The sequence below is a fragment of the Homo sapiens genome, chromosome 12, assembly GCF_000001405.40.
Source record: "Homo sapiens chromosome 12, GRCh38.p14 Primary Assembly".
NCBI lineage: Eukaryota > Metazoa > Chordata > Mammalia > Primates > Hominidae > Homo > Homo sapiens.
The window spans coordinates 109,430,971-109,454,460 of NC_000012.12; the positions used below are offsets into that span (position 1 = coordinate 109,430,971).

Here is a 23,490-nt window from a genome sequence, read left to right on the forward strand (position 1 = left end):
TTAGAACGTGGGAGGTGGAGCTTGCAGTGAGCCGAGATCGCACCACTGCACTCCAGCCTGGGAGACAGAGCGAGACTCCATCTCAAAAAAAAAAAAAAAATCTGATTTTAAAATAAACATAATATGAGGCCAGGCACGGTGGCTCACACCTGTAATCCCAGCGCTTTGGGAGGCCGAAGTGGGTGGATCACGAGGCCAGGAGATCGAGACCATCCTGGCTAACACAATGAAACTCCGTCTCTACTAAAAAATACAAAAAATTAGCCAGGTGTGGTGGCGGGCACCTGTAGTCCCAGCTACTCGGGAGGCTGAGGCAGGAGAATGGCGTGAACCTGGGAGGCGGAGCTTGCAGTGAGTGGAGATTGTGCCACTGCACTCCAGCCTGGGTGACAGAGCAAGACTCCGTCTCAAAAATAAATAAATAAATAACATAAATATAATAAGAAAGGAAGGAGCATATTGGGAACACCACTGCTAGCACTCATTGAGTCTTGGACTGGGACTAAATACCTAGTGTGTATTATCTCGTTTAAACCTCATGAGAACCCCATGAGGAAGGTCCTGTTACTGTTCATGTCACACAGGTGAGGCAGCGACTCCTCCCGCTCCGGAGCTGGGCTGGAACCCAGGCATTCTGTTTCTACGCCAGTGGCTCCGGTTGTGCTGCTTCCAGCCTTGATCCATCTGCACTTCTGAATTCTGCGTTCAGTTGTTTCATTATACTACAGACATCACGGTTCTCTTTCTAGGGACTGCAGGGTAGAAGGGAACTGCATGCTGGAATCAGGTTCTTAACACTGGAGCCAAAATTACCCCTGGGGGACGGGGGAAGCCCTCATCACTTCCCAAGCATGGAACCCTTTCTTTCTCTTCTCTACTCTTTCTTGAGACAGGATCTCTGTTACCCAGGCTGGAGTGCTCCCTGAAGCCTCAACCTCCTGGACTCAAGCGATCCTCCTGCCTCAGCCTCCTGAGTAGCTGGGACTACAGCCGCACACTGCCACACCTGGCTAAAAAAAAAATTTTTTTTTTTTTTTTTTTTTTTTTTTGAGATGGAGTCTTGCTCTGTCGCCCAGGCTGGAGTACAGTGGCGCAATCTCGGCTCACTGCAAGCTTCGCCTCCCAGGTTCACACTATTCTCCTTCCTCAGCCTCCCCAGTAGCTGGGACTACAGGTGCCCGCCACCATGCCTGGCTAATTTTGTTTTGTATTTTTAGTAGAGACAGGGTTTCACCATGTTAGCCAGGATGGTCTCGATCTCTTGACCTTGTGATCCGCCCGCCTCGGCCTCCCAAAGTGCTGGGATTACAGGCTTGAGCCCCTGCGCCTGGCCTTTTTTTAAGTAGAGACGGGGTCTGCCCAGGCTGGTCTCAAATGCCTGGCCTCAAGTGATCCTCCTGCCTTGGCCTCCCAAATTGCTGGGATCACAGGCATGAGGCACCATACCCGGTCTCAAGCATAGAACTTTTTCTTCTGGTACTAGACTATGTTTGTTTGTCTGTTCAGTTTTCTGTCGATGGACATCTGGGTTGTTTCCACCTTTTGGCTATTATGAATCATAGCACCATGCACTGCTACACCCAATGGCTGCTATGAACATTCAGGTATGAATGTTCGGACACCTTTTCATTTCTCTTGGACAGATACCTAGGAGTGGAATTGAGTCACTGGGTTGAGCGTCTGATGATGTCATTGTTCTACAAAGACAGGTCAAACTCCCTACTATATTGAAACAGTTTCTCTCTCCTTTCTTTCTTGCAAAGTACCCATCTTTGAATTCGAGAAAGTTCGTGTAATGGGACTACTACATACACTGAGTGGCCGACATGCCACAGCAGTGCTCAGCAGGCCTCTGGGGCCGGGGATGTGGGGGAGGGCTAGAGGAAGGTACGGTCACAGCTTCTCCATGTCCATCTCCTCTCCTAGGTACAAGTCCTTATGCCCAGACACCTGGCCGCACTGGCACGGGCCTCCAGCAGAGGGCGTGGAACGGCTGATCAAGTACATCGGCTACAAACCCGAGGAATACAAGTTAGGCAAGTAAGTGACCAGAAGACCACCAAATGGTCTCTTCCCTTGACATCAAAGGGTTTTGTGCATTGATCCGTATCCATCTAGAGCCTGGAGACTCGATTCCTAGGGATTTATGGAGATTTGCGAGATTTATGCTTCATCTACTCGATGTAAATGCAGCTCTTAATTCTTTAGAAGAGCTATGGTGCTGCCGGTGGGAGGAAATGAAGTTATAAAGGAAACTTCCGCACTAAACTGATTTAGCAGATGGGCCTCCTTGCTAGCAAAACAAAGAGGGAACCAGAGGGGGCACCTAACGTCCGTGTGCCTGGATTCTTTCACTGTTCCCATGTACGCATGACCTGCCAGAGGAGCTACTGGGACCTAGACAATGTGAGATCATCTGTAGCATCTCAGAAATGGTGTGCTGGAACTCTTAACTGTAGAGTTGTAGTTATCCATGAGCAGAGACTTTCGTACACATTGAAAGCTTTCAGGCACAACTCAAGGGACATGAATCGGGAAGATCCGAGTCCGTCTTGTGCGTCATTTTGGTCAGGGTTAATGAGGTTGCAGGGAAAGGTGTCTCAGCATGAAGATCTATTCCCCGACAGCAGGGCTTCCCCACTCCAGAGAGCTCTGCCTGTGATCCTGTTCATGGGCTTTCCCTGCTGACTCCTAACTCCCACTTGTACATGGTCGTCTGGGCCGCCTTGGCCTCTCTCCATCTGTAGACTCCTATTCTGGGCCTGTTCCAAGGATCAGTTACTTAGTCAGTCCAGATCTCCAAGGGGATTCTGCAAGGCTCAGCACATCCTGAGGGAGGCAGGGCATGGAGGTCAGAGGTGGGATCCGTCTGTCCCCTGTTCCATAAATTGAAACAGGGACAAGGGAGAGTGGGATCACCAGGCACCACCCACTGCTGTCCCCAGTGGCTGCCCTGGGAACTTTCCCTCACCAGGCCTGGGGTCGGGCAGGCAATGTGAGGTCAGTATTTGTAACTTCTCTCTGCTGGCTACTGTGATCTTCTTTTTATTTTTTTATTTTTTGAGACAGAGTCTTGCTCTGTCACCCAGGCTGCAGTGGCATGATCTCGGCTCACTGTAACCTCCGCTTCCTGGGTTCAAGCGATTCTCCTGCCTTAGCCTCTCGAGTAGCTGGGATTACAGGTGCACACTACCACAATGGGCTAATTTTTGTATTTTTAGTAGAGACAGGGTTTCACCGCGTTTGTCAGGCTGGTCTCAAACTCCTGACCTCAGGTGATTCACCTGCCTCGGCCTCCCAAAGTGCTGGGATTGCAGGCGTGAGCCACCGCGCCCAGCGTGATCTTCTTTTAAGCTTAGATCCACATTATTTGTCTGGCTGGGCGTGGTGGCTGGTGCCTGTAATCCCAGCTACTCGGGAGTCTGAGGCACGAGAATCATTTGAACCTGGGAGATGGGGGTTGCAGTGAGCCGAGATTGCACCACTGCACTCCAGCCTGGGCAACAAACTGAGACTCTGTTTCAAAACAAAAACAAAAAACAAACAAAAACACCCATATTCTTTGTCGTCACTCTTTAAAGCCTAGCAACATAACTTGAAGCAACTTCAGGTTACGTTGGTTTATTCATTTCCTAGGACTGCGTAACAGATGATCACAAAGTGGCTGATTTAAAACAAATCTATTCTCTCCTAGTTGTGGAGGCCAGAAATCCAAAAATCAAGAGTTGGCAGGGCCACATTCCTGCGGGAGCCTCTTTTAGCTCTGGTGGCTCCTGGCATTGCTTAGCTGTAGCCGTGTCCCTCCAATCTCTGCCTCCGTCCTCACGTGGGCTCCTCCCTGTGTCTTTCTGTGTGTATAGAGACACTCTCAATGGATTTAGGGCCCACCCTATTCCAGGATGAGCTCATTTCTATCCTTACCTCAATCACATCTGCAAACACTATTTCCAAATAAGATGGTATTCTGAGGTTCTGAGTGGAAATGAATTTTTGAAGGGGGCACCGTTCAACCCACTAGATGGTAAACTGACCAATTAATAACAAAAACATTTCTTTTCACTTCTAGAACCAAAATATTCATTCGTTTCCCCAGAACTCTGTTTGCTACCGAAGATGCCTTTGAATTTAGTAAACATCAACTAGGTATGATTTCTTTTTCTGTCCCGATTTCAATAGAATATGAAATGAACAAGTGGAGCTTGGGGGTAAATCTTAAACACGGGTGTTTGATATAGTGTTAGAAGCATTCGCTTTGGAAACTAGGAACGAGATATGGGATTATGATAAGATCCCTGTGAATTTCTGCTTTAATGACTGCTTGGAGGTCAGTCACAGATGCAGGCAGATATATAAACATTGTTCCGCCGTTTCAGTTCTCGTTTGGATCAGATTCTGTTGTTCACTACTAGGGTGTAAAACCGTGAGAGACCAGCCCCTTGAAATTAAAGTTTACAAAACTTCACTTGTCTGCGTGTCTGATGTTGGAAAGTTTAGCTTCAAAGCCTGCAGCCTGGGTGTTTGCTGGGAATGGTCAATGAGAAAAGTTAGATGGGGAAATGCAAAAAGTAAAAAATCAAAACTGCGGGGGGAGGGAGCGTCTCTTTTGAAATGTAACCGGTCTGTCAAGAACTACGCTTGAGTCATTTGAGGGCCTGCTGTGCGCCAGGTGAACACTAAGTCCTTTAAACCATGGTCTCATTCTGTTCTGAGAACAGACCTGTAAGGGAGGTGACATAGGTGCTATCGTCTCCGCTTTCTATGCAGGGAAACTGAGGCACGGAGGTGTTGGTAACTTGTTGAAGGCTACACAGCAAGTAAGCAGCCTAGCTGCGGTTTGAACCTGGGTCTGTCTGGCTTCAAGGCTTGGTGGTCTCATTTTCTGACCTCCGTAGCAGTGGGCACCAATGGCTGGGGATCTGGTTGAAGGGCCACAGTTAGGCCAGTGGGGCCTGAGCCAGCATCTCTAACCAGCTCGTGGGGAATAGGATGTGGCTGCTCTGCAAGGCTCTTGATGAGCTTGGCCTCTGATAGGACCTAAATTGCTGTGTGGAGGGGGTGGATGCAGGATGTAGAAGCCGAGGGAGAGTGTTCTCTGATCAGACCTGGATTCATGCTCCTCCTTAGCTGTGTTGCCCGGCAAGCGTCTTCACCATCTGTCTGAGCCTGCGTGCCCATTTATAAAACATGCTGATGATGCCTGCCTTGTGGGGTGGCGTATGAGAATGAAATCTAATGCCTGACATGGAACTGGGGGGCTTGTAGCACTAGGTCTGTTCCTTGCCCTGGGAAAAGGAAAGGCAGGAAGGAAACTCCAGTTCCCGGGCAGCATCTGGGAGCCAGGCGTCATGTAACCAGCCAGCTCTCAGGTCTGCAGTGCTGAAATAGCTTCCTGAAACATCACTACACCACAGGACTTTGATGCCCCCTTCCATCGGCCCCCAAACACCCCTGGAGATCACAACCACAAAGATGCGCAAATGCAAAGCCATTTCACCAAAACGTCTGTTTTATTTTAAGTTGCAAGAATCCAAGCCACTTACAAACGCTGCCTAGGAAGGAGAGAATACGTGAAAAAAAGACAAGCAGGTAAGAATTAAATAGAAACAAATAAGTTTGCTCCCTTTCTCATCTGCTTGGCACCTGGGGGCACATTTGTGAGTTCTCTCCCCCTGCTCATCCTTAAAACCTTGTGTGGTGCTATCTTGGGGTCCAGTTCTGGGGCCTCTTCTCATTTTTACCTTATTGATTGGAGATTATAACATAGTGGCCTGTATGTGTTCCACAGGCATGTTTTATTAGTCCTACAATATGTGTACATTTAAAGAATAATTTTGTGGGCCAGTCGCGGTGGCTCATACCTATAATCCTAGCACTTTGGGAGGCTGAGGCGCGTGGATTACTTGAGCTCAAGAGTTCAAGACCAGCCTTGGCAGCATGGTGAAACCCTGTCTCTACCAAAACAAAACAAAACAAAACACCCAAAAATTAGCTAGGCATGGTGGTTAATGCCTGTAGTCCCAGCTACTTGGAGGGCTGATGCAGGAGGACTGTTTGAGCCCAGGAGGTGGAGGTTGCAGTGAGCCACGATGGAACCACTGCACTCCAGCCTGGGTGACAAAGTGAGACCCTGTCTCAAAAAAAATAAAAGAATAATTTTTGAAAAAGTTTCAAACATACAAGTACCCTTGAAGCCCTTCCATTTTTTTGTCCCTCCCCAGTCATGTTCTCAAACAACACTCCCACCCACACGCATACATTTCTTGAGAGTAACCACTCTCTTGAATTTTGCATTAATCATTCTCTTGTTTTTCTTCAATAGTTTCACTATCTATGGGTGTATCTCTAAATAATATATTTATAATTTAGCATGTTTTAAACTTAACTATACTCTTGGTATTTTGGGTGACATTTTTGCACTCCAAATTGATTTTGAAATTCAACCAGGAGATGTGCATAGATTTAGTTATTCATTTGCTGATAGCTACATAGTATTCCACTATAGCAGCAGAGGTCAGCATTATAGGAAGTATTTTAGACTTGGGAGTCTTATGGTCTCCATCGCAGTAACTCAAGTCTGCCATGGTAGCAGGAAAGTAGCTTTAGATAATATGTAAATGAATGGACAGGGCTGTGTAGAGATAAAACTTTACATAAACAAGTGGCAGGCTGTAGTGGGCCAGCCCCTGAGCTATGAGTATGCCACAACTTAGCTGTTCTGTTGATGGACGTTTGGGTTGATTCAAGTTGCTTGTCTTTGTAATAGAAACAATGCTGTTCTGAGGATTCGAAGAAAAGCGTTTAAAAAATCTGAAGAGCATTTAAAAATTGGGAAACAGGCCAGGCATGGTGGCTCACACCTGTAATTTCAGCACTTTGGGAGGCTGACGTGGGCAGATAACCTGAGGTCAGGAGTTCGAGATCAGCCTGCCCAACATGGCGAAACCCCGTCTCTACTAAAAATACAAAAAAAAATTAGGCGTGGTGGTGCACACCTGTAATCCCAGCTACTGGGGAGGCTGAGGTGGGAGAATTGCTTGAACCCAGGCAGCAGAGGTTGCAGTGAACCAAGATCACACCATTGCACTCCAGCTTGGGCGACAGAGCAAGGCTCTGTCTAAAAAAAAAAAAAAAAAAAAATTGGGAAATAAGCCAGAACCTAAGTTTTATATGCCCTAGTTTGCTTGTGTACCCCAATTTTTAAATGTAGACAACTAAAAGTAAACCCCAGTGAGACTAAACATGGTGGTAAGACTAATCTGTACCATCACAAGTGCCATTGCTGTGGCTGAAAAAGACCCTGGGAAAATGACTCCCTCATGTAATTTCAGGGCTTCCCTAGAAACCTTCCATAGCCCCCTCTGTTCTGTCTCCCCCTGGTTCAGTTGTTGCCTGAGTACTCCCAGGTAAGAACTGATGACATTCATCCGACCTTCCATCTCTGAGGCTAACAGAGTGCTGCGGTGGGCGTCCAGATGTTTGTTGAATGGACAAAGCCTTCTGGAAAAGCCTTCTGTATTTCCATACGATTGTGCTCACCTTCTAATGCCAGCAGTGAACTCTTTCAGCCATCAAACTGGAAGCCCACTGGCGTGGGGCCCTGGCTCGGAAGGCAATCCAAAGGAGAAAGTGGGCCGTGCGGATTATCAGAAAGTAAGTTCTCAGGTACAACAGAGAGGACAGGTCACTAAATGCTGGTACCCTGCAGGGATGGTCATGGAGGTAGATGAGTTCTTTGTGATTTTTTGATTTGTGCAGAAAGGAAAAACTCCCTTCAGAATGCCATTAGGAATTCAGGTCCATCCCTTTGCTCTGAGCTGAATTTGATGGTGATCACAACTCAATGTATTTGGAATTTCTCTTAGCCTGGCTCAAAAGTCACAAAGTCAAATGCCTTCTGATGCCAGGCAGGTAAAGTGAGTGAGTCTCATGGGCTGGGATAAGACAACAGGGCATGGTGGAGACCAGCAAACTGGAACGCTCAGTCTACCTCAAGGTGGGGCGGTAACTAGCCCATTCCAGTTTACTGCTGCTGTGGGGAAATGTAGCCAGATGGCTTGAATTTTCAAGGAACGCTGAAATCTGGCTTTTGGGGTTTTGTTGTTGTTGTTTGTTTTTTTTGTTTGAGATGGAGTCTCACTCTGTCGCCCAGGCTGGAGTACAATGGTGTGATCTCGGCTCACTGCAACCTCCGCCTTCTGGGTTCAAGCGATTCTCCTGCCTCAGCCTTCCAAGTAGCTGAGATTACAGGCACACACCACCACACCCGGCTAAATTTTTTGTATTTTTAGTAGAGAGACAGGGTTTCACCATGTTGGTCAGGCTAGTCTCGAATTCTTGACCTCAAATGATCCGCCTGCCTCAGCCTGCCAAAATGCTGGGATTACAGGCATGAGCCACCATGCCCAGCCTTGAAATCTGGCTTTTATGCCCTGCTTCCTAACTTTTTAAAATTGGCAGCTAATTAAAGCTCCTCAAAACAAAACAAAAGGCCGTGTGGGTGAAATCGAACATATATGTGGGGCAGATTTGGCCTCTGGCCTATGTGGTCATCTCCACAGCCTCTACCACTTTGGCCGCCTCTGAATCAAAGAAGGGGGAAGAGAATGTAAATCTCGGTGAAGAAATGGTCCAGAAAAGTAAGAAAACATTTTCCTTTTTAGGTTCATTAAAGGATTCATCAGTCGCAACAAACCCCTCTGTCCTGACAACGAGGAATTTATCGTGTTTGTGCGGAAGAATTACATCTTGAATCTCCGGTATCACCTTCCAAAGACTGTCCTGGACAAGAGCTGGCTGAGGCCTCCTGGCATCTTGGAAAATGTAAGGACTAATCTGGGATTTCCAGTGTTGTAAGTAGCACGGGCACTGACGAAGCTTAACTCTTGCATGTCTTTGTGCTGCCTCCCTTTGGCTTGAAAGGGCTGCCCTGGCAAAGCCCTTCTTCCCAAGGATGCTGCACAAGAAATTGAACTCCTCAGAATTTGCGATGTCCTTAGTAGCATTATAAAGCCACTGGAGTGTCCTTAGTAGCATTATAAAGCCACTGGAGGTTGTTTAAACAGAGCACTTTTTTTTTTTTTTTGAGATGGAGTCTTGCTCTGTCACCCAGGCTAGAGTGCAGTGGCGCGATCTTGGCTCACTGCAACCTCCGCCTCCTAGGCTCAAGTGATTCTGGTGTGTCAGCCCCCCTGAATAACTGAGATTACAGGCGCCCGCCACCATGCCTGGCTAATTTTTGTATTTTTAGTAGAGACGGAGTTTTGCCATGTTGGCCAGGTTAGTCTCGAACTCCTGACCTCAAATGATCTGTCCGCCTCAGCCTCCCAAAGTGCTGGGATTACAGGTGCGAGTCACCGTGCCCAGCCGACAGAGTACTTTCGAATCATTTCTATTCCTGACGTAGCCTTCCTAGAATAGCATCCCTCAAGAGATGATCTGAGGACCCTCTGTGTCTGGAACTTAGAGGCGGGGCTGTTGTAAGAGTCCCGGGCTCCACTTTGGACCCACTGAGTCAGAATCTCCAGGAATCTCATTATAGCCAGTTCTGCAGGTGAGTCATAAACATATTCAAGTTTGAGAATCATTCGTTAAGCAACAGCAAAAAGTTGGGAGAGGATCAGGTTAGCTGCTGTGACTATAAAATATAAAATATTAACACTGTGCTTGAAATCAAACTGAATTCAGCAGTGTTTTTTTAAAGCTTCATTTTGATCGCCACAGCCCCAGACAGGGAGTGAGTGAGGCAAGTGGAAAGAAGTGTGTTCTCCACACAGGCATCAGATCTGCTCAGGAAAATGTGCGTGAGGAACCTGGTGCAGAAGTACTGCCGCGGGATCACAGCTGAGCGGAAAGCAATGGTAGGGACATGATGTCTGCGGTGGCCGGTGGTGGGGGTGGGTGTAAGAGTGGGTCCTGAGTGTCAGTCCTCCTCATCCACCATTTCACCTATAAGCGGGGGTCATGCTAGTCCCATGCTTTGAAATGTTCAAGATAATTGCAGGTAGACCTGCAGAGAGCCCTGGATGAATGCCAGCTGTTACTGTAATCAGCATGGCTCCGTTTGTTACCATGGGAACACAATCACAACGGCTCCTGCCATCCATCCACCGGAGCAGAGAATGTAGACCCCTTTCTGCTGGAAATCTGTTTTTCACCGTGCTAACCTGCGGGTCTTTTGTGTAAAGGGCTAGAAGAGTAACTATTTCAGGGTTTGTGGCCTTTCTCTGTTGGAATTACTCAACTCTGCTGCTACAGTGAGAAAGCAGCCATGGACAATGTGTGCATGAATGGCATGGCTCTGTCCCAATAGAATGTTACTTACAAAAAGGGACAGCAGGCTGAGTTTGGCCTGCAGGCTGTGGTTTCCCAATCCCTGATCTACAAGAAACTGCTCTTGGAACTCTGGAAAATCCACTTTCAGGAAGGTAGTAAGGGAACGAGCAGAAACGTCAACCCAGTCTCTACCAATATGACTTTCAGGGCATTTTGGCCAAAGCCAGGAAGGTGTTCTGACTTGTATGCTCCAGGGTAACAAGGCTCCCACAGTTTATCCAGCAAAGGATGTGACCTCAATGGGTCTAGAGCTCTTCTATCCCAAAGAAGCCTGTGGCTACCATTTTTATACTTTCAATTGTGTATTACCAGATGCAGCAAAAGGTAGTTACAAGTGAAATCTTCAGGGGAAGGAAAGACGGCTACACAGAAAGTTTAAATCAACCCTTTGTCAACAGTCGGATAGGTAAGTACATTTTCCAGCCTATGTACTTGGCTTTCCAATTCTAAAAGGAGTTAAAGGGTGGGGTGCGGTGGCTCATGCCCATAATCTCAGCACTTTGGGAGGCCGAGGTGGGCGGATTGCCTGAGCTCAGGAGTTCGAGACCAGCCTGGCCAACATGGCGAAACCCCATCTCAACTAAAATACAAAATATTAGCAGGGCGTGGTGGTGTCCACCTGTAGTCCCAACTACTCGGGAGGCAGAGGCAGGAGAATGGCTTGAACCCAGGAGGCGGAGGACGCAGTGAGCCGAGATCATGCCACTGCACTCCAGCCTGGGAGACAGAGCGAGACTCTGTCTCCAAAAAAATAAGTCAAAGGCAGATGCTCAACTCTGCAGCATTTCCTGATGGCTATTTCCCCACCTGAGATCTTAGCACAGAGATGCATAACAAAACTAGCAGATACCAATGACTTTTCCACAGGATTGGTACTTTAGTGATGATTCATGGCCTTCTGGTTCCCTCTCTAGATGAAGGAGACATTAATCCGAAAGTGCTTCAGCTAATTAGCCATGAGAAAATCCAGGTAAGGCGATGTGTGTCCTCAGTCTCAAACAGGATTCCCTCATCGAGTCTAAGAGCAGGGTCCCCTTTCTCCATAAAGGGCGCACTATTTAAATGCAGGGGTGCAGCTGGGCAGCTGGGGCTCTCAACTGTGATGCTTTGGGTATTAACTAAGATGATGGGGAACAAATGATGATTAGATAATGGCTGCTGTTCTCATGACACCTCCGTCACCCTAGAAACTGTCTTGGTTTGCTTTCCTACAAAATTGAATGAAGTGTAGCCATGAACTTAATCACGAAACACCCCCTTATTGGTGAGAGGCAGTGTGGCATAGTGCCTGGGCACTGACACTTGCTTTGAACGTAGCAGCCGTGAGATCCTGGGCAGGTCACTTAAGCTCTTGGTGCCTCTGATCTTCTGTGAATGAGGATGATGGGTTTACTGAGAGGATGAATGAGTCGGTGGGCGAGAGGTGCTCAGGCTGCTGCCTGGCACGCAGCAGCAGGTGAAGCCCTGGTGATCGTGTGTGCCAGTGTCTGCTCTTTTTTTTTTTTTTTTTTTTTTTGTTCCCTGGGGAATAGAAGCCACTGTGACTGGATTGGATTACACTGTGGCTGTGAGAGTTTTCATCTCTGACCATCAGAGCAGACCTGCAAGGCAGGCAGCCATAGCCTTGACTTCCTCAGAGGGCAACGCAGGTAGGCAGAGCTAGGGATCCAAATCCCCATCATGCAGAGAGCCAGGAAAAAAAAAAAAATATATATATATATATATATGTGTGTGTGTGTGTGTGTATATATGTGTACGTATGTGTGTATATATGTGTACGTATGTGTGTATATATGTGTACGTATATGTGTGTATATGTGTACGTATATATGTGTGTATATGTGTACGTATGTGTGTGTATATGTGTACGTATGTGTGTATATGTGTACGTATATGTGTGTATATGTGTACGTATATGTGTGTGTATATGTGTACGTATATGTGTGTGTATATGTGTACGTATATGTGTGTGTATATGTGTACGTATATATGTGTGTATATATGTGTACGTATATATGTGTGTATGTATGTGTACGTATATATGTGTGTATATACACACACACACACACACACACACACACACACACACACATACACGCAAAATCTGTTTGAGCTTTTCTAAATGCTTGACATCACTTTACCGGTGTCTGAGTAGCAAGAAACTCGGTACTCTGCCCCACCTTCCCTGGTGAAGTCACCTTCCCCTTGCAGTATGGTGTCCCGGTCATTAAATATGACAGAAAAGGCTTCAAAGCACGGCAGCGGCAACTCATTCTTACTCAGAAAGCAGCTTACGTGGTGGAACTTGCCAAAATCAAGCAGAAAATAGAGTACTCAGCTCTCAAAGGTAAGAAGTGGGCAATCTTTAAAACAATGCACTGAGTTGACTCAACTACTGGAAAGCCCAGTAATGAAGCTCCCAAATGGGAAACACAAGTGTAGGGTGCCCATAAACCCCGGGGTAGTGATGCACACCTGTAGTCTCAGCTACTCGGAAGGCTGAGGCAGGAGGATCACTTGAGCCTGGGAATTCGAAGCTGCAGTGAGCTATGATTGTGCCACACACTCCAGCCTGGGTGGCAAAGTGAGACTCTGGCTCAAAAAAAAAAACAAAAAACAAAACCATCTGCCCTCCTCCCCTAGCGTTGCCCAGCCTGGACTGCACCCTTATTCTGGCATAAATATTAATAGCACCACTTTACTCAAGTACCCAGGTTGGGCAATAGTCTGCTTCCACGGTGATCAGAGCCCACTAGCAGGCTAAGATTTCTAAAGTATGCCCTTCATCCTTCTGGGCCCAGCTAGGAGAATGAAGTGTGGTGTTGGGCAGCCCCTGGGCGTATCTCTTCTTCCTCTGTACTAATGTCAAGCTCTCTAGTTCTTGGCTCCTAACTCTGGATCTGTCTTAAGGTGTCTCCACTAGCAATCTGAGTGATGGAATCTTAGTCATTCATGTTTCACCAGAGGACAGCAAGCAAAAGGTAATTGACAGCCACCAGTCTCTACTAAAAGACAGAAACAATACACTGCCAAAATGTTAAGTTGACCACCGTGAAACTTCTCTATTGGAGTGTCTGTTTCTTTAAGCTGTGAATACTGAAATTATGCCTTGTCTCCTCCCCACCCCAGGGGGATGCCGTTTTGCAGTGTGGACACGTGTTTGAAGCAGTTACTAAACTCGTCATGCTGGTTAAGAAGGAGAACATTGTCAATGTTGTTCAAGGAAGGTAGGTGGCTTCATCTTCAGCTCAGGAAGTAATTCAATGTTAAAATGTTTATTAAGGCCGAGCGTGGTGGCTCATGCCTATAATCCCAGCACTTTGGGAGGCTGAGGTGAGCAGATAACTTGAGGCTAGGAGTTCAAGACCAGCCTGGCCAAAATGGTGAAACCCCGTTTCTACTAAGAATACAAAGATTAGCCGGGTTTGGTGGTGCACACTTGTAATCCCAGATACTTGGGAGGCCTGAGGCACGAGAATCCCTTGAACCCAGGAAGCGGAGGTTGCAATGAGCCAAGATCACACCACTGCACTCCAGCCTGGGCAACAGAGATAGACAATGTCTCAAAAAAAAAAAAAAATTACAGATCGGGGAAGATGCAAATATTGTTTTCACTCCTGCTTGCCTCCTGCTTCCAACGTAATCAAGCACCATCTCTACCAGTAAGGGGTGAGAAGCCTCTAGTGTTACATCCTCGCCCCTTCCCATAAGTAACTTTTTTCCGTCTTCATCCCTGGGATCTTGGCCTTCAGAGAAATGAAGTCAGTGAAGGCAGGATATCCTGGAGAGCTGTTTCTTTTCCCTCATCCTGTGCTGTTCCAAGTTTTAACAACCAGAGCACATTTGTAGGTGGAATAAGGAGAGAGAGTTGAGTGCTTTGAAATGTGTTGTCTTTGTGTTGCTGTACCTGAGGGAATACTCAGCCCCTCAGAGTTTCAGTGTGATATGGAAGTAGTTCCATAGACATCAACTGACCCTTTGAAGAACTGAATGTGCTCATTTGATCTCATGGTAACTACAGAAACATGTAAGTTGCCCAGCTGTGGCAACAGCATTCTTCCTTTCCTCAAATATGCAATAAAACACTGTAATAAAACAGGAATTTGATCTTGAAACTAGTAGAATTTAATAAGTGAATTTCTTCTGTAGACCAAAGGTTGAGAGAAGAAAATACAGTATGTCAGTAATGTGTCACTTTGTGTATTTTAAGTTTACAGTTTTTTATTAGTCCGGGAAAAGAAGGCACAATAGTTTTCGACACTGGACTGGAAGAACAAGTCTATAAAAATAAAAATGGACAATTAACAGTGGTGAGTGGCCGTCTCTGGGAGGGAAGTAAGCCGTTTTAGATGAGAATATAAGTTAAAGTTCTACCAATTTCAGTCCTGTAGATTGACTGGAATCATAAGCTATTAATAGTTCATTTCTGCCCTCTATTCCTAATTCTACATCTGTAAGACAGGAAGAAACTGATATAGAGATACACACATCTAAACACTGAATGAGAAAAGAAAAAAAGCTTAACCATCCTTGTCAGTGAACCAGAAGCTGACATGAGACACTTCCCAAATAGCAGAGTCTAACTTTTCACTGGATAAAGGCTTCACGCTTATTACAGTTATCCATAACTATCCATAACTTCCCCCCACGTGGAAATCAATGCGCTTGTGTCCCACCCAGATACTGAGACTTAATTGGTTGGAGGTGCGGCTTAGGCTTCAGGATGCAAGAAAATATAAACGTAAGAAAAATATGTAAGAAAGAAATGTGTAAAAAATATGTAAGAAAATATAAAGTTGCTTTTTGGAATACATGTGTCAAAGGCTGCCCATGTTAATACCTTTGGTATAAAATGGATCTAACAAGCACAGAGGTTTGGGAACCATGGCTACGTTAGGGAGAAGTCTAGCCTGAGCACACAAGTACGCTGCCTTCCCTGACTGTGCCCATGCTGGGCTGAGGGTCCCAGTGGTCCTCGCTGGCTGCTAGTACACGGAGCTTGTTTTGATCCAGTTTTGCTGAAAACGACATGTTAAAAGCAGAGGGAGCTGAATCTTTAAAATGTATCTTGTATTATAGGAAGAATTTTGATACAAATTAATTAAAAAATGGTCTGTGAACATGGAGTGTCTCATACACATTTAAATTTAAGTGGATTTACCTATAAAGTCATTTTGCAGGCCCGGCGCGGTGGCTCACGCCTATAATCCCAGCACTTTGGGAGGCCGAGATGGGCAGATCACCTGAGGTCAGGAGTTCGAGACCAGTCTGGCCAACATGGTGAACTCCGTCTCTACTAAAAATACAAAAATTAGTTGAGCATGGTGGCACATGCCTATAGTTCCAGATACTCAGGGAGGCTGAGGCAGGAGAATTGCTTGAACACAGGAGGCGGAGGTTGCAGTGAGCTGAGATCGCACCACTACACTCCAGCCTGGGCGATAGAGTGAGACTCCATCTCAAAAAAATAAAATCATTTTGTAGATATAAAATAATTGCCCCTAGACACAATGAACTCCTTTGGGGACAAGTTAAAATAAGGATCATTTTGGATGTAGACTATAAGGTGTCTTTTTAGTTTACACACTGTCTTAAAAGTGACACCCCAGAGACTGTGTCTCTCTCCTCTGGAGTCACACGGAGTCCATCTTCCTCCCTGACTGGTTCTGGCTGAAGAGGCTGACAGGCCTCGATGAGCCAGTTTCTAAGTCTGGCTTGTCTCATGGGAGGTGGCACTGGCTTCTCACAGGCCCTCCACACCCACCTTGCTAATGGTGACAGTTGAGGTGATAACTGTTTCCTTTTGCGCAAAGGGAGCGGGGAAGGGCTGTAAACCGAAGTGTGACTCTCTCCCAGGTGTCAGTCCGGAGGAAGTCCTGATAGAGGATGACGTCTGACCTCTACCATCGCCATTTTTGCTCCAACTGAGGAAACTACAGGGGAAGTGGGGATTGGATCCAGTTAGCTACCTCTTCAAGGTACCAGGCCCGCAGCACTAACAGATCACATCTGAAGAAACTGAGGGGCGTTAGGCCAAAGCCTAATCCCAGCTCCTCAGCTGCCCCATGGCACCTTATTTAAAATGTCACCTTCTGGAAGCAGACCCCAGGTCACCCGAAGGCGCAATTCTAAACACCCTCGACAGGATCTATGTTCAGTGCGCAGTCCAACGTGTCATTAGAGGGTGGGCAAGATTCTCTACCTCTGTCAAGCTGCCCTGAGACATGATGAAATACTGTGTACAGCAAGTTCTCAAATAACATTTCGTTATATGTTGATAAGACATCTGATTCCTGGGCAGGGCCACTGTCTGGGTGGAGTCTGTATGTTCTCCCCATGTCTCTGGGTTTCTTCTGGGTGCTCTGGTTTCCTCCCACGTCCCCAAGGTGTGTGTGTCAGGTGCACTGGCGTGTCTATGCGGTCCCAGTCTGAGTGAGTGTGGGTGCGTGAGCCCCGTGAGAGGAGGACATCCTGTCCAGGGTGGGTCCCGCCTTCTGCCCTGAGCTGCTGGGATTGGGCTCTGGCCATCTGCAACCCTGAACGTGCAGGTTGGAGAACGAATGAATACAAATTTTATTGTAAAATAAAAATGTATATAAAGCATATGAGCACACAAATGGACAATAAATGCCACAGCGCAAAAGCGTGTAGCGAGCCTGCCACGCTTGTGACTGGGGAGGGGCTCCGTATAATCTCACCTTTGCAAGCGTTTATTTACTGATGTATGCGGCCACCACTGTGACCACCATCACTTACCGATTCACCAAAACTTAGGTAATATGGTCTTATTTTTGATTTAATTAAATATACGTGTAGCTCATGTATTTCACAGTTTAATATGAGAAGTGCTTTGGTCTTTATTTAGAAATTGGGTGATGTTTTTGTGCCCAGCAACATGCTGTAGGAATTTAACTCTTGTTTACATCCATTAGCCTCATGGTTTTGCTTCAAGTCTCAGCTTCCAAGAACCTATCGATGACTTACTGTGCATGGTCTGAGACTAAGTAAAGGAAATTTCCTAAAGCTGTGAAATTTGAATTTTGCTTTAAATAAATGGAACTCACATGTGTCAAGGGATTGGGTTTGGTGAACTGAAGCCCTCTGCCCCATAATAGCAAATCAGTGGTAACACCAGCTGATTCACTTTTTCATGAGCCAGGCAGCCTTTGACCCCAAGACTTCCTTTTGGTGTTTGAATTCAAACAAACACTACAGAAACATGACTGTCTTTTCCCTTCCACCTGGAGCGACTTTAAGGGGCTGAGGCAGAACGTGGGGGCCCTGCCTTTGTTGTAAACCGATTTTAGGGGCCTGGTTATGCCGGGCATGCCTGAAAAGAGCCAGAAAACAGAAGCATTTTATGACTTTTATTTTACATGTCGCCAACGTTTGTACAACATACAGTGGCTACATCTAAAACTTTGAGCATTTTTTTATGGCGCAAAGAGACAGAAAGGTTAATGACACACTTAACTGTTACAGTGACTTTGGGTAGGGCCCTAAAGACAGCACACGCTCCAGAGGGCGGGCTGAGTGTTGTTCACACTTGGGTCCTGAATCGCTGTTGTAAGGTACAGAGACACACTTTAACTGGGGAATGGGGTCCCCACACAGTGATCGCCCCACGGGAGGGTGACAGAATATGCCAGGAATTGTCTTGGACATGGGCCCCAGTCACCACAATCAGATGGCTTATTTGAAACAAACAAACAAAAAAAACCCTTGATTACGACACACCAAAGCTGTTCCAATTTGTAAAAAACTGTAGTTATTACATTGCAATGAAATCTCTTTACCAAATCTTGGGCCAGTGTTTTACCTGGATAGTGCTTACATTATAAATATTGGTTTTTGCCCTTAGTGCTAACATAAGAAAAATCAGTTCCTTGTATACTCAATAACAGAGCTTGGACCAGCCAATGCTGTCTATTCACTCATGGCTATAATGCAGCCGACAGAATTGTTCACCATGGAATGTTTTATAAACCTGTTCATATTCCAGAGAGACAAAGACTCAAAACTACAAGTGCAAAGTTGGGTAGAGAGAGCTGCCAGAAACACTAGCTCATTAGGCATAGAGGCCACAGCAAATCAAATTGTTCCACAAACTCATTCTTCACACAAACATTTAAAACACTATGCAGCCAGGTGTGGTGACTCACACCTGTAATCCCAGCACTTTGGGAGGCCAAGGTGGTCGGATCACAGGGTCAGGAGTTCAAGACCAGCCTGGCCAACATGGTGAAACCCCATCTCTACTAAAAATACAAAATTAGCTGGGCATGGGCTGATGGGTACCTGCAATCCCAGCTACTCGGGAGGCTGAGGCAGCAGAATCGCTTGAACCCAGGAGGCACAAGTTGTGGTAAGTGGAGATGGTGCCACTACACTCCAGCCTGGCCAATAGAGCAAGACTCCGCCTCAAAAAAAAATTTATACAATGGCTTTTCCATTTTCCTGGCCAACATTCACTTCGACTTTCTAAAAAAGCTCAACCCAAAAGAAAGACAGGGTTGGTGTTTAACACTTAAACAGTATAAAATATTTACGAAACATTTTGTAAGCCCTCTTTCCTTAGCACTTAATAAAATCCAAATGGCCTAATATAAAAGTTTCTCACACGACAGTTTAAAAAGCATCTGCCCAATACACGATTTTGACATTCAGTCATGATTGTTTTAAAGTTTTATTGTAGACTTTGCTGTTGGATACAAAATGAAGGCATACAACTGTCACAGGCAGGGCAGTAAGTACAAAGTCTAAGCTGTAAAAACCGTTTGAAAATATAAACTCGTTTTTGGAATACATGTGTCAAAGGCTGCCCATGTTAATACCTTTGGTATAAAACGGTAACGATTCCCTTGACAAACCCATCCATCACCTGACGCACATTCACATCTCCTGGTAACTACTCTACCTAGTCTAGTCTCAACCACCCCTGTCAGTCACGACTCACTCCTGTTCCTTTGCAGGTGCAGAGGAGCCTGGGAGGTAGGTCACTGAGAACACCCGTCCTACATAGGCGCTGCGCCCAGCCGGGCTCCAGCAGGGGCCGCCACCTGTGCCCCACAAGCACACGTCCCCACCCACAGTCACACATATCCCTTAAACAAACATGAACACAGACACAAACCAGACCCAAAGTTATCTATCTACCCGCACATCCTCAACCTGTTCACTGCTGGCCACTCTACACTGTGTAAAAATCAGAGGCAAAGACAAGGGGGTCTGTGTTTATAGCAGGGAAGCTCCCTGGGGCTGGTGGTGTGAGGGTGTCCCTGCCTGGATGCCAGGCTGGGAGGACAAAGGGTATGGGCCACACTGAATTTCTAAGCAAAATGACTTAGAAAGTTAGCCCAGCTTCATGGGGAAGGAGGCTGAAGAGGAGCGGGATCCCAGGGAGGGGTAGTTTATGAGCTATGCCTGTCACAGGGTCAGATGGCCTTCCTGGAGTGGAGTCGGGTCAATCAGGAGAACAACTGGACGGGGCTGGAGTTGGGGAAAGAACCAGAAACAGAGCTGGACACTTACTGCCATGGAAAGTTCTGCTCCTACGCAGACATATGGGGTCCCAGTGAGCACCAGGCCAAAGACCAGCCCAAGGTGGCAAAAGGCTTGATCCCTAAACAAAGCCTTGCACCCAAAGTTGCACTGGTCTCAACGATTTAGACGCTCATTCAGCCATATTTCCACTGCCACAAGCTGCAATTATCAACAAGCTCTAGGCCCAAAGCCACATGGCAGAAAGCACGTCTAGCAAAGCAGTGGGGATTGTGCCCGGGCCAAACACACAGGAACCAGGAGTGGACCTGCTGGGGCTGGAGGATTATGAAATAGGAAGCAGGGAGCTCAGATACCTCTGGTGGCCTCCAACTGCAGGACAACTCTCAGAATTGTCAAACTGAACCCTTAAGGGAGTGTCACCCAAAAAGCCCACATAGGAAGTCGACACCCACAAAAATAAATATTGCAAACAAAAGTTCTCACATACACTTCACACTCATTCATACTTTTCCTCTGAGAACCGAGAAAGCCTGGCTCCAAAGAGTCTCAGATTCTCATGAAAAGTAGAGATCTTAGACACAGCTTGTTCAACGACAGGGGTCATACGCCTGGGTCAAGACAATCAATTTGCCTTGTCAAGCAATACCAAAATAATCATCTGGCTTGTTACAAAAGTATCTCCAGGCTCCAAGGGAAGCAGAAGGGGCCCGGCAGCCTGCACAGGATCTGGGTGTAGCACGGCAGGGAGTGGGGGCGGTGAGAGGAGGGCGGCTCGGTCTCTTGCCTGCTCACTGGTGGAGGTGGGCCCGGTCATCAGGGCGCTTGATGTGGATCCTCCGCACGCGCTCGATCCGCTCCCGCTCCTCGTCCTCGTCCAGGTGGTGGGAGCGCCCCGCCGCCCCGCCTGTGGCCTCCAGGAGCGCATTGTCAGGTCCCCGGCCATCCTGGGCCTCATACAGCAAAATGTTCAGGGTCTCCTCATAAATCCGGGCTTCGGGAAACTCCACCTGTGTTCCCACAGTATACAGGGCAGGTAAGTTATGGCCCACCCCCTCTGCCAACACCTGGACTTTAAGCAGGGCCGCCAGGCTAAATCAGGCCCCTGGGATTCTGCTGAAGGCCACCAGTATTATTTTTAAATAAACTGATATTTTCAATGGCAACACTTACATGTGGTGCTAAATGCACAGAAAATCAAGGGGATGCAGAGAAACAGGTCTCCCTGCCCCTAGTTTCCCTTCTTAAAGGTACAGTTTCTCATCATTTTACCCTCTCAAAGATTCTGTGCATGTAAATATGTGTAATACACATATTTATTCACACACTTCAAAAAACACACAAGGTGGCCCACCACACAGAGTTGTACATGTCTTCCTCTTGTGCCTAACTTAACCTAGAGATCATTCTGTATCAAGGAATTATAAATACGACAATGCAATTAACCATACTTGGATGGCCATTTAGGTCAGTGCTAATATGCTTCTCCTAACAGAGCTGCAACCTTGCACAGAAGTCCTTCCACACCTTAAAGCAGTCTCTAAAGCAGTTTTTTGTACAGGGTCCAGCTGGGGACTCCCACGAAATGGGCATGAGCCCTTCTGCTGTTTGGCAAATCATTGTGTTTGCTCATTGCCCTTCAGGGTTAAGGTGTGATGAACAGGAAGAGGGCCACATAAGCAGGTCCCACACATTTGATCAGACTAGACTCCACTTTCAGGGTGGAATTCGGAGGTTCTGGGAAAAATGGAGCAGGCACACTCTACCCCGTCTTCCTCACTGACACTACAAAGCCAGAATGGGATGCACACAGCAGCTAACTGTGGACTCAGAAGTAAATCATGGCAGGCAGATGGGGGAAACAACAGAATTTGGAGTAATGCCCAACAGTGAGTTTACTGTTTGCTGCTGCCAGCACTGATGCAGCCTGAAACCCTGAAATGGCACCAGGACAGAAGACCTCCAGAAGGTCTCTAGTGGCCAGGGAGGCCAACAGAGTCTAACAGGCAGAGAGGCTGGGAGGAAATCCTGGTTTTCTTTCCTTTTTTTTTAAAAGATATGGGATCTGGCTAATTAAGCTTTAAAATTTTAAGACTTCTCATTTTTAGAGCTTAATAAGGAGCAAGGGGATTTAGAGACCACATGGTCTGATCCCAACTGTTTCTTGATTCACAGACCAGGTTCAGGAGTGGCGTGTTCTTGTGTTTGTGAAGCTGGTTAGGGGCAGAGCCAGGACGGGAGTCCAAGGGCCTCTTTCTTTTCTCTTTTTTGTTTTGAGAGGGAGTGTTGCTCTGTCACCCAGGCTGGAGTGCAGTGGCACAATCATAGCTCACTGCAGCCTTGAACGCCTAGGCTCAAATGATTCTCCCACCTCAGCCTCCCCAAGTAGTTGAGACTATAGGCATGCATCACCATGCCCAACTAACTTTTTGTAGAGATGAGTGTGTTGCTATGTTGCCCAGGCTGGTCTTGAACTACTGGGCTTAAATGATTCTCCCACCTCAGCCTCCCAAGTAGTTTAGACTACAGGCACACACCACCATGCCCAGCTATTTTTTAAAAAATTTTTGGTAGAGACAGGGGTGTTGCTATGTTGCCCAGGCTGGTCTTAAACTCCTGGACTCAAGCAATCCTTCTGCTTTGGCCTCCCAAAGTGCGGGATTACAGGTGTGAGCCACCATGCTCAGTCCTTTTCTTTATTTTCTTGCACCCAGACCTGAGCATTCCTGTGGCAGCAACCAGAGACTGCAGGAGTCAAAACTCTGAGGGAAGGAACCTTCTTTTCTGATGAGAAGAGCTGTGGTCTCAGCAGGATTGGGAGAATCTGGTTGCTTTTTCTATCTTCATGCTCCTGGGCCCAAAATACAGGCATGGTTACAGAAAGTGGGTGGCAAAGGGGGAATAACCAAACCCCCAGCTTTCTGGCTGGCCGATCAGAGAAGGGGACTCCAGGGAAGCTTAGAGAACTGCGGAGAAGAGGAGCTTGAGAAAGCAGCCTGTGAAGTTGTATATGAACTCCTAGACCCACACCCAGCTGCAAGATCTACCCCTAAACTGCATACGCAGACTGAAAGAACTGAATGCTGCAAGAGATACTGCCCAGGACAGACGGGCCACAGCATGGCACACAGCTAGGACAGATTTGAAGGCTTTGAAAATCAAACTGTCACCGCAACTACAAACTACAGAAGGCTGGTTAGAGCTTGCAGCCTGAGCCCAACTGGGTCAATTGCCTGCTAAAACAAAAACATCAATGTTCTCCCTAGGATTTAAACAAGGCCTGGAGTCCTTTAACAATATTCAAAATGTTTAGGATACAATCAAAATTTCTCAATACACAAGAACCAAGAAATTCTCAACTCCTGTGGGAAATAACTCACAGATGCTAGCGCCAAGGTGACACAAGGTTTTGGAATTACCTGACAAAGACCTGGCAGCAGCTATTATTAACCTGTTCCAGTAAGTAAGGGCCAATGCTCTTAGAGCAAATGGAAACATAGGGAGTCTCAGCAAGGAGACAGAAAAACCAAATGAGCACTTGAGAACTGACAAATACAATAACCAACAACCTCAAACAAAAACACAACTTACCAGCAGGGCTCAATAACAGAGTGGAGATGAGACAGGAGAGGAGAGTGATATGGGCTGGGTGCAGTG

The 23,490-nt window shown here is 46.7% G+C and overlaps 2 protein-coding genes across 10 annotated transcripts in view, besides 1 other annotated feature; one reads left to right on the forward strand and one right to left on the reverse strand.

Moving 5' to 3' along the window:
• MYO1H (myosin IH) overlaps positions 1-17,409 on the forward strand; it is a 137,912-nt gene extending 120,503 nt beyond the window's left edge. For 2 of the 3 annotated variants that reach the window (NM_001101421.4, XM_047428738.1), the window contains 13 exons: positions 1,927-2,040; positions 4,067-4,143; positions 5,518-5,586; positions 7,566-7,650; positions 8,661-8,820; positions 9,774-9,857; positions 10,645-10,738; positions 11,247-11,302; positions 12,544-12,679; positions 13,243-13,313; positions 13,462-13,559; positions 14,543-14,642; positions 16,189-17,409. In NM_001101421.4, coding sequence (NP_001094891.4) covers positions 1,927-2,040; positions 4,067-4,143; positions 5,518-5,586; positions 7,566-7,650; positions 8,661-8,820; positions 9,774-9,857; positions 10,645-10,738; positions 11,247-11,302; positions 12,544-12,679; positions 13,243-13,313; positions 13,462-13,559; positions 14,543-14,642; positions 16,189-16,212 — 1,168 coding nt within the window. In that variant the 3' untranslated portion in view covers positions 16,213-17,409. Of the gene's footprint in view, positions 1-1,643; positions 1,710-1,926; positions 2,041-4,066; positions 4,144-5,517; positions 5,587-7,565; positions 7,651-8,660; positions 8,821-9,773; positions 9,858-10,644; positions 10,739-11,246; positions 11,303-12,543; positions 12,680-13,242; positions 13,314-13,461; positions 13,560-14,542; positions 14,643-16,188 lie in introns of all 3 variants that reach the window. The other variant, XM_011538223.3, reaches the window with a different exon arrangement.
• Positions 2,795-3,299: an enhancer, noted in NCBI's record as "H3K4me1 hESC enhancer chr12:109871570-109872074 (GRCh37/hg19 assembly coordinates)". NCBI's record gives its function as "activates a minimal SCP1, AML or CMV promoter by ChIP-STARR-seq in naive H9 embryonic stem cells {active_cell/tissue: H9 hESC(naive)}" and the evidence as "EXISTENCE:reporter gene assay evidence [ECO:0000049][PMID:30033119]".
• A 275-nt stretch (positions 17,410-17,684) lies between the features above and the next one.
• KCTD10 (potassium channel tetramerization domain containing 10) overlaps positions 17,685-23,490 on the reverse strand; it is a 28,646-nt gene continuing 22,840 nt past the window's right edge. For 5 of the 7 annotated variants that reach the window (NR_133898.2, NR_133897.2, NM_001317399.2 and 2 more), the window contains one exon: positions 17,685-20,843. Coding sequence is in view for 5 of the 7 variants with exons in the window: in NM_001317399.2 (NP_001304328.1) it covers positions 20,625-20,843 (219 nt within the window). In the remaining 2 variants the exon portion in view is untranslated. Of the gene's footprint in view, positions 22,685-23,490 lie in introns of all 7 variants that reach the window. The other 2 variants (XM_047429638.1, XM_047429637.1) reach the window with 2 other exon arrangements.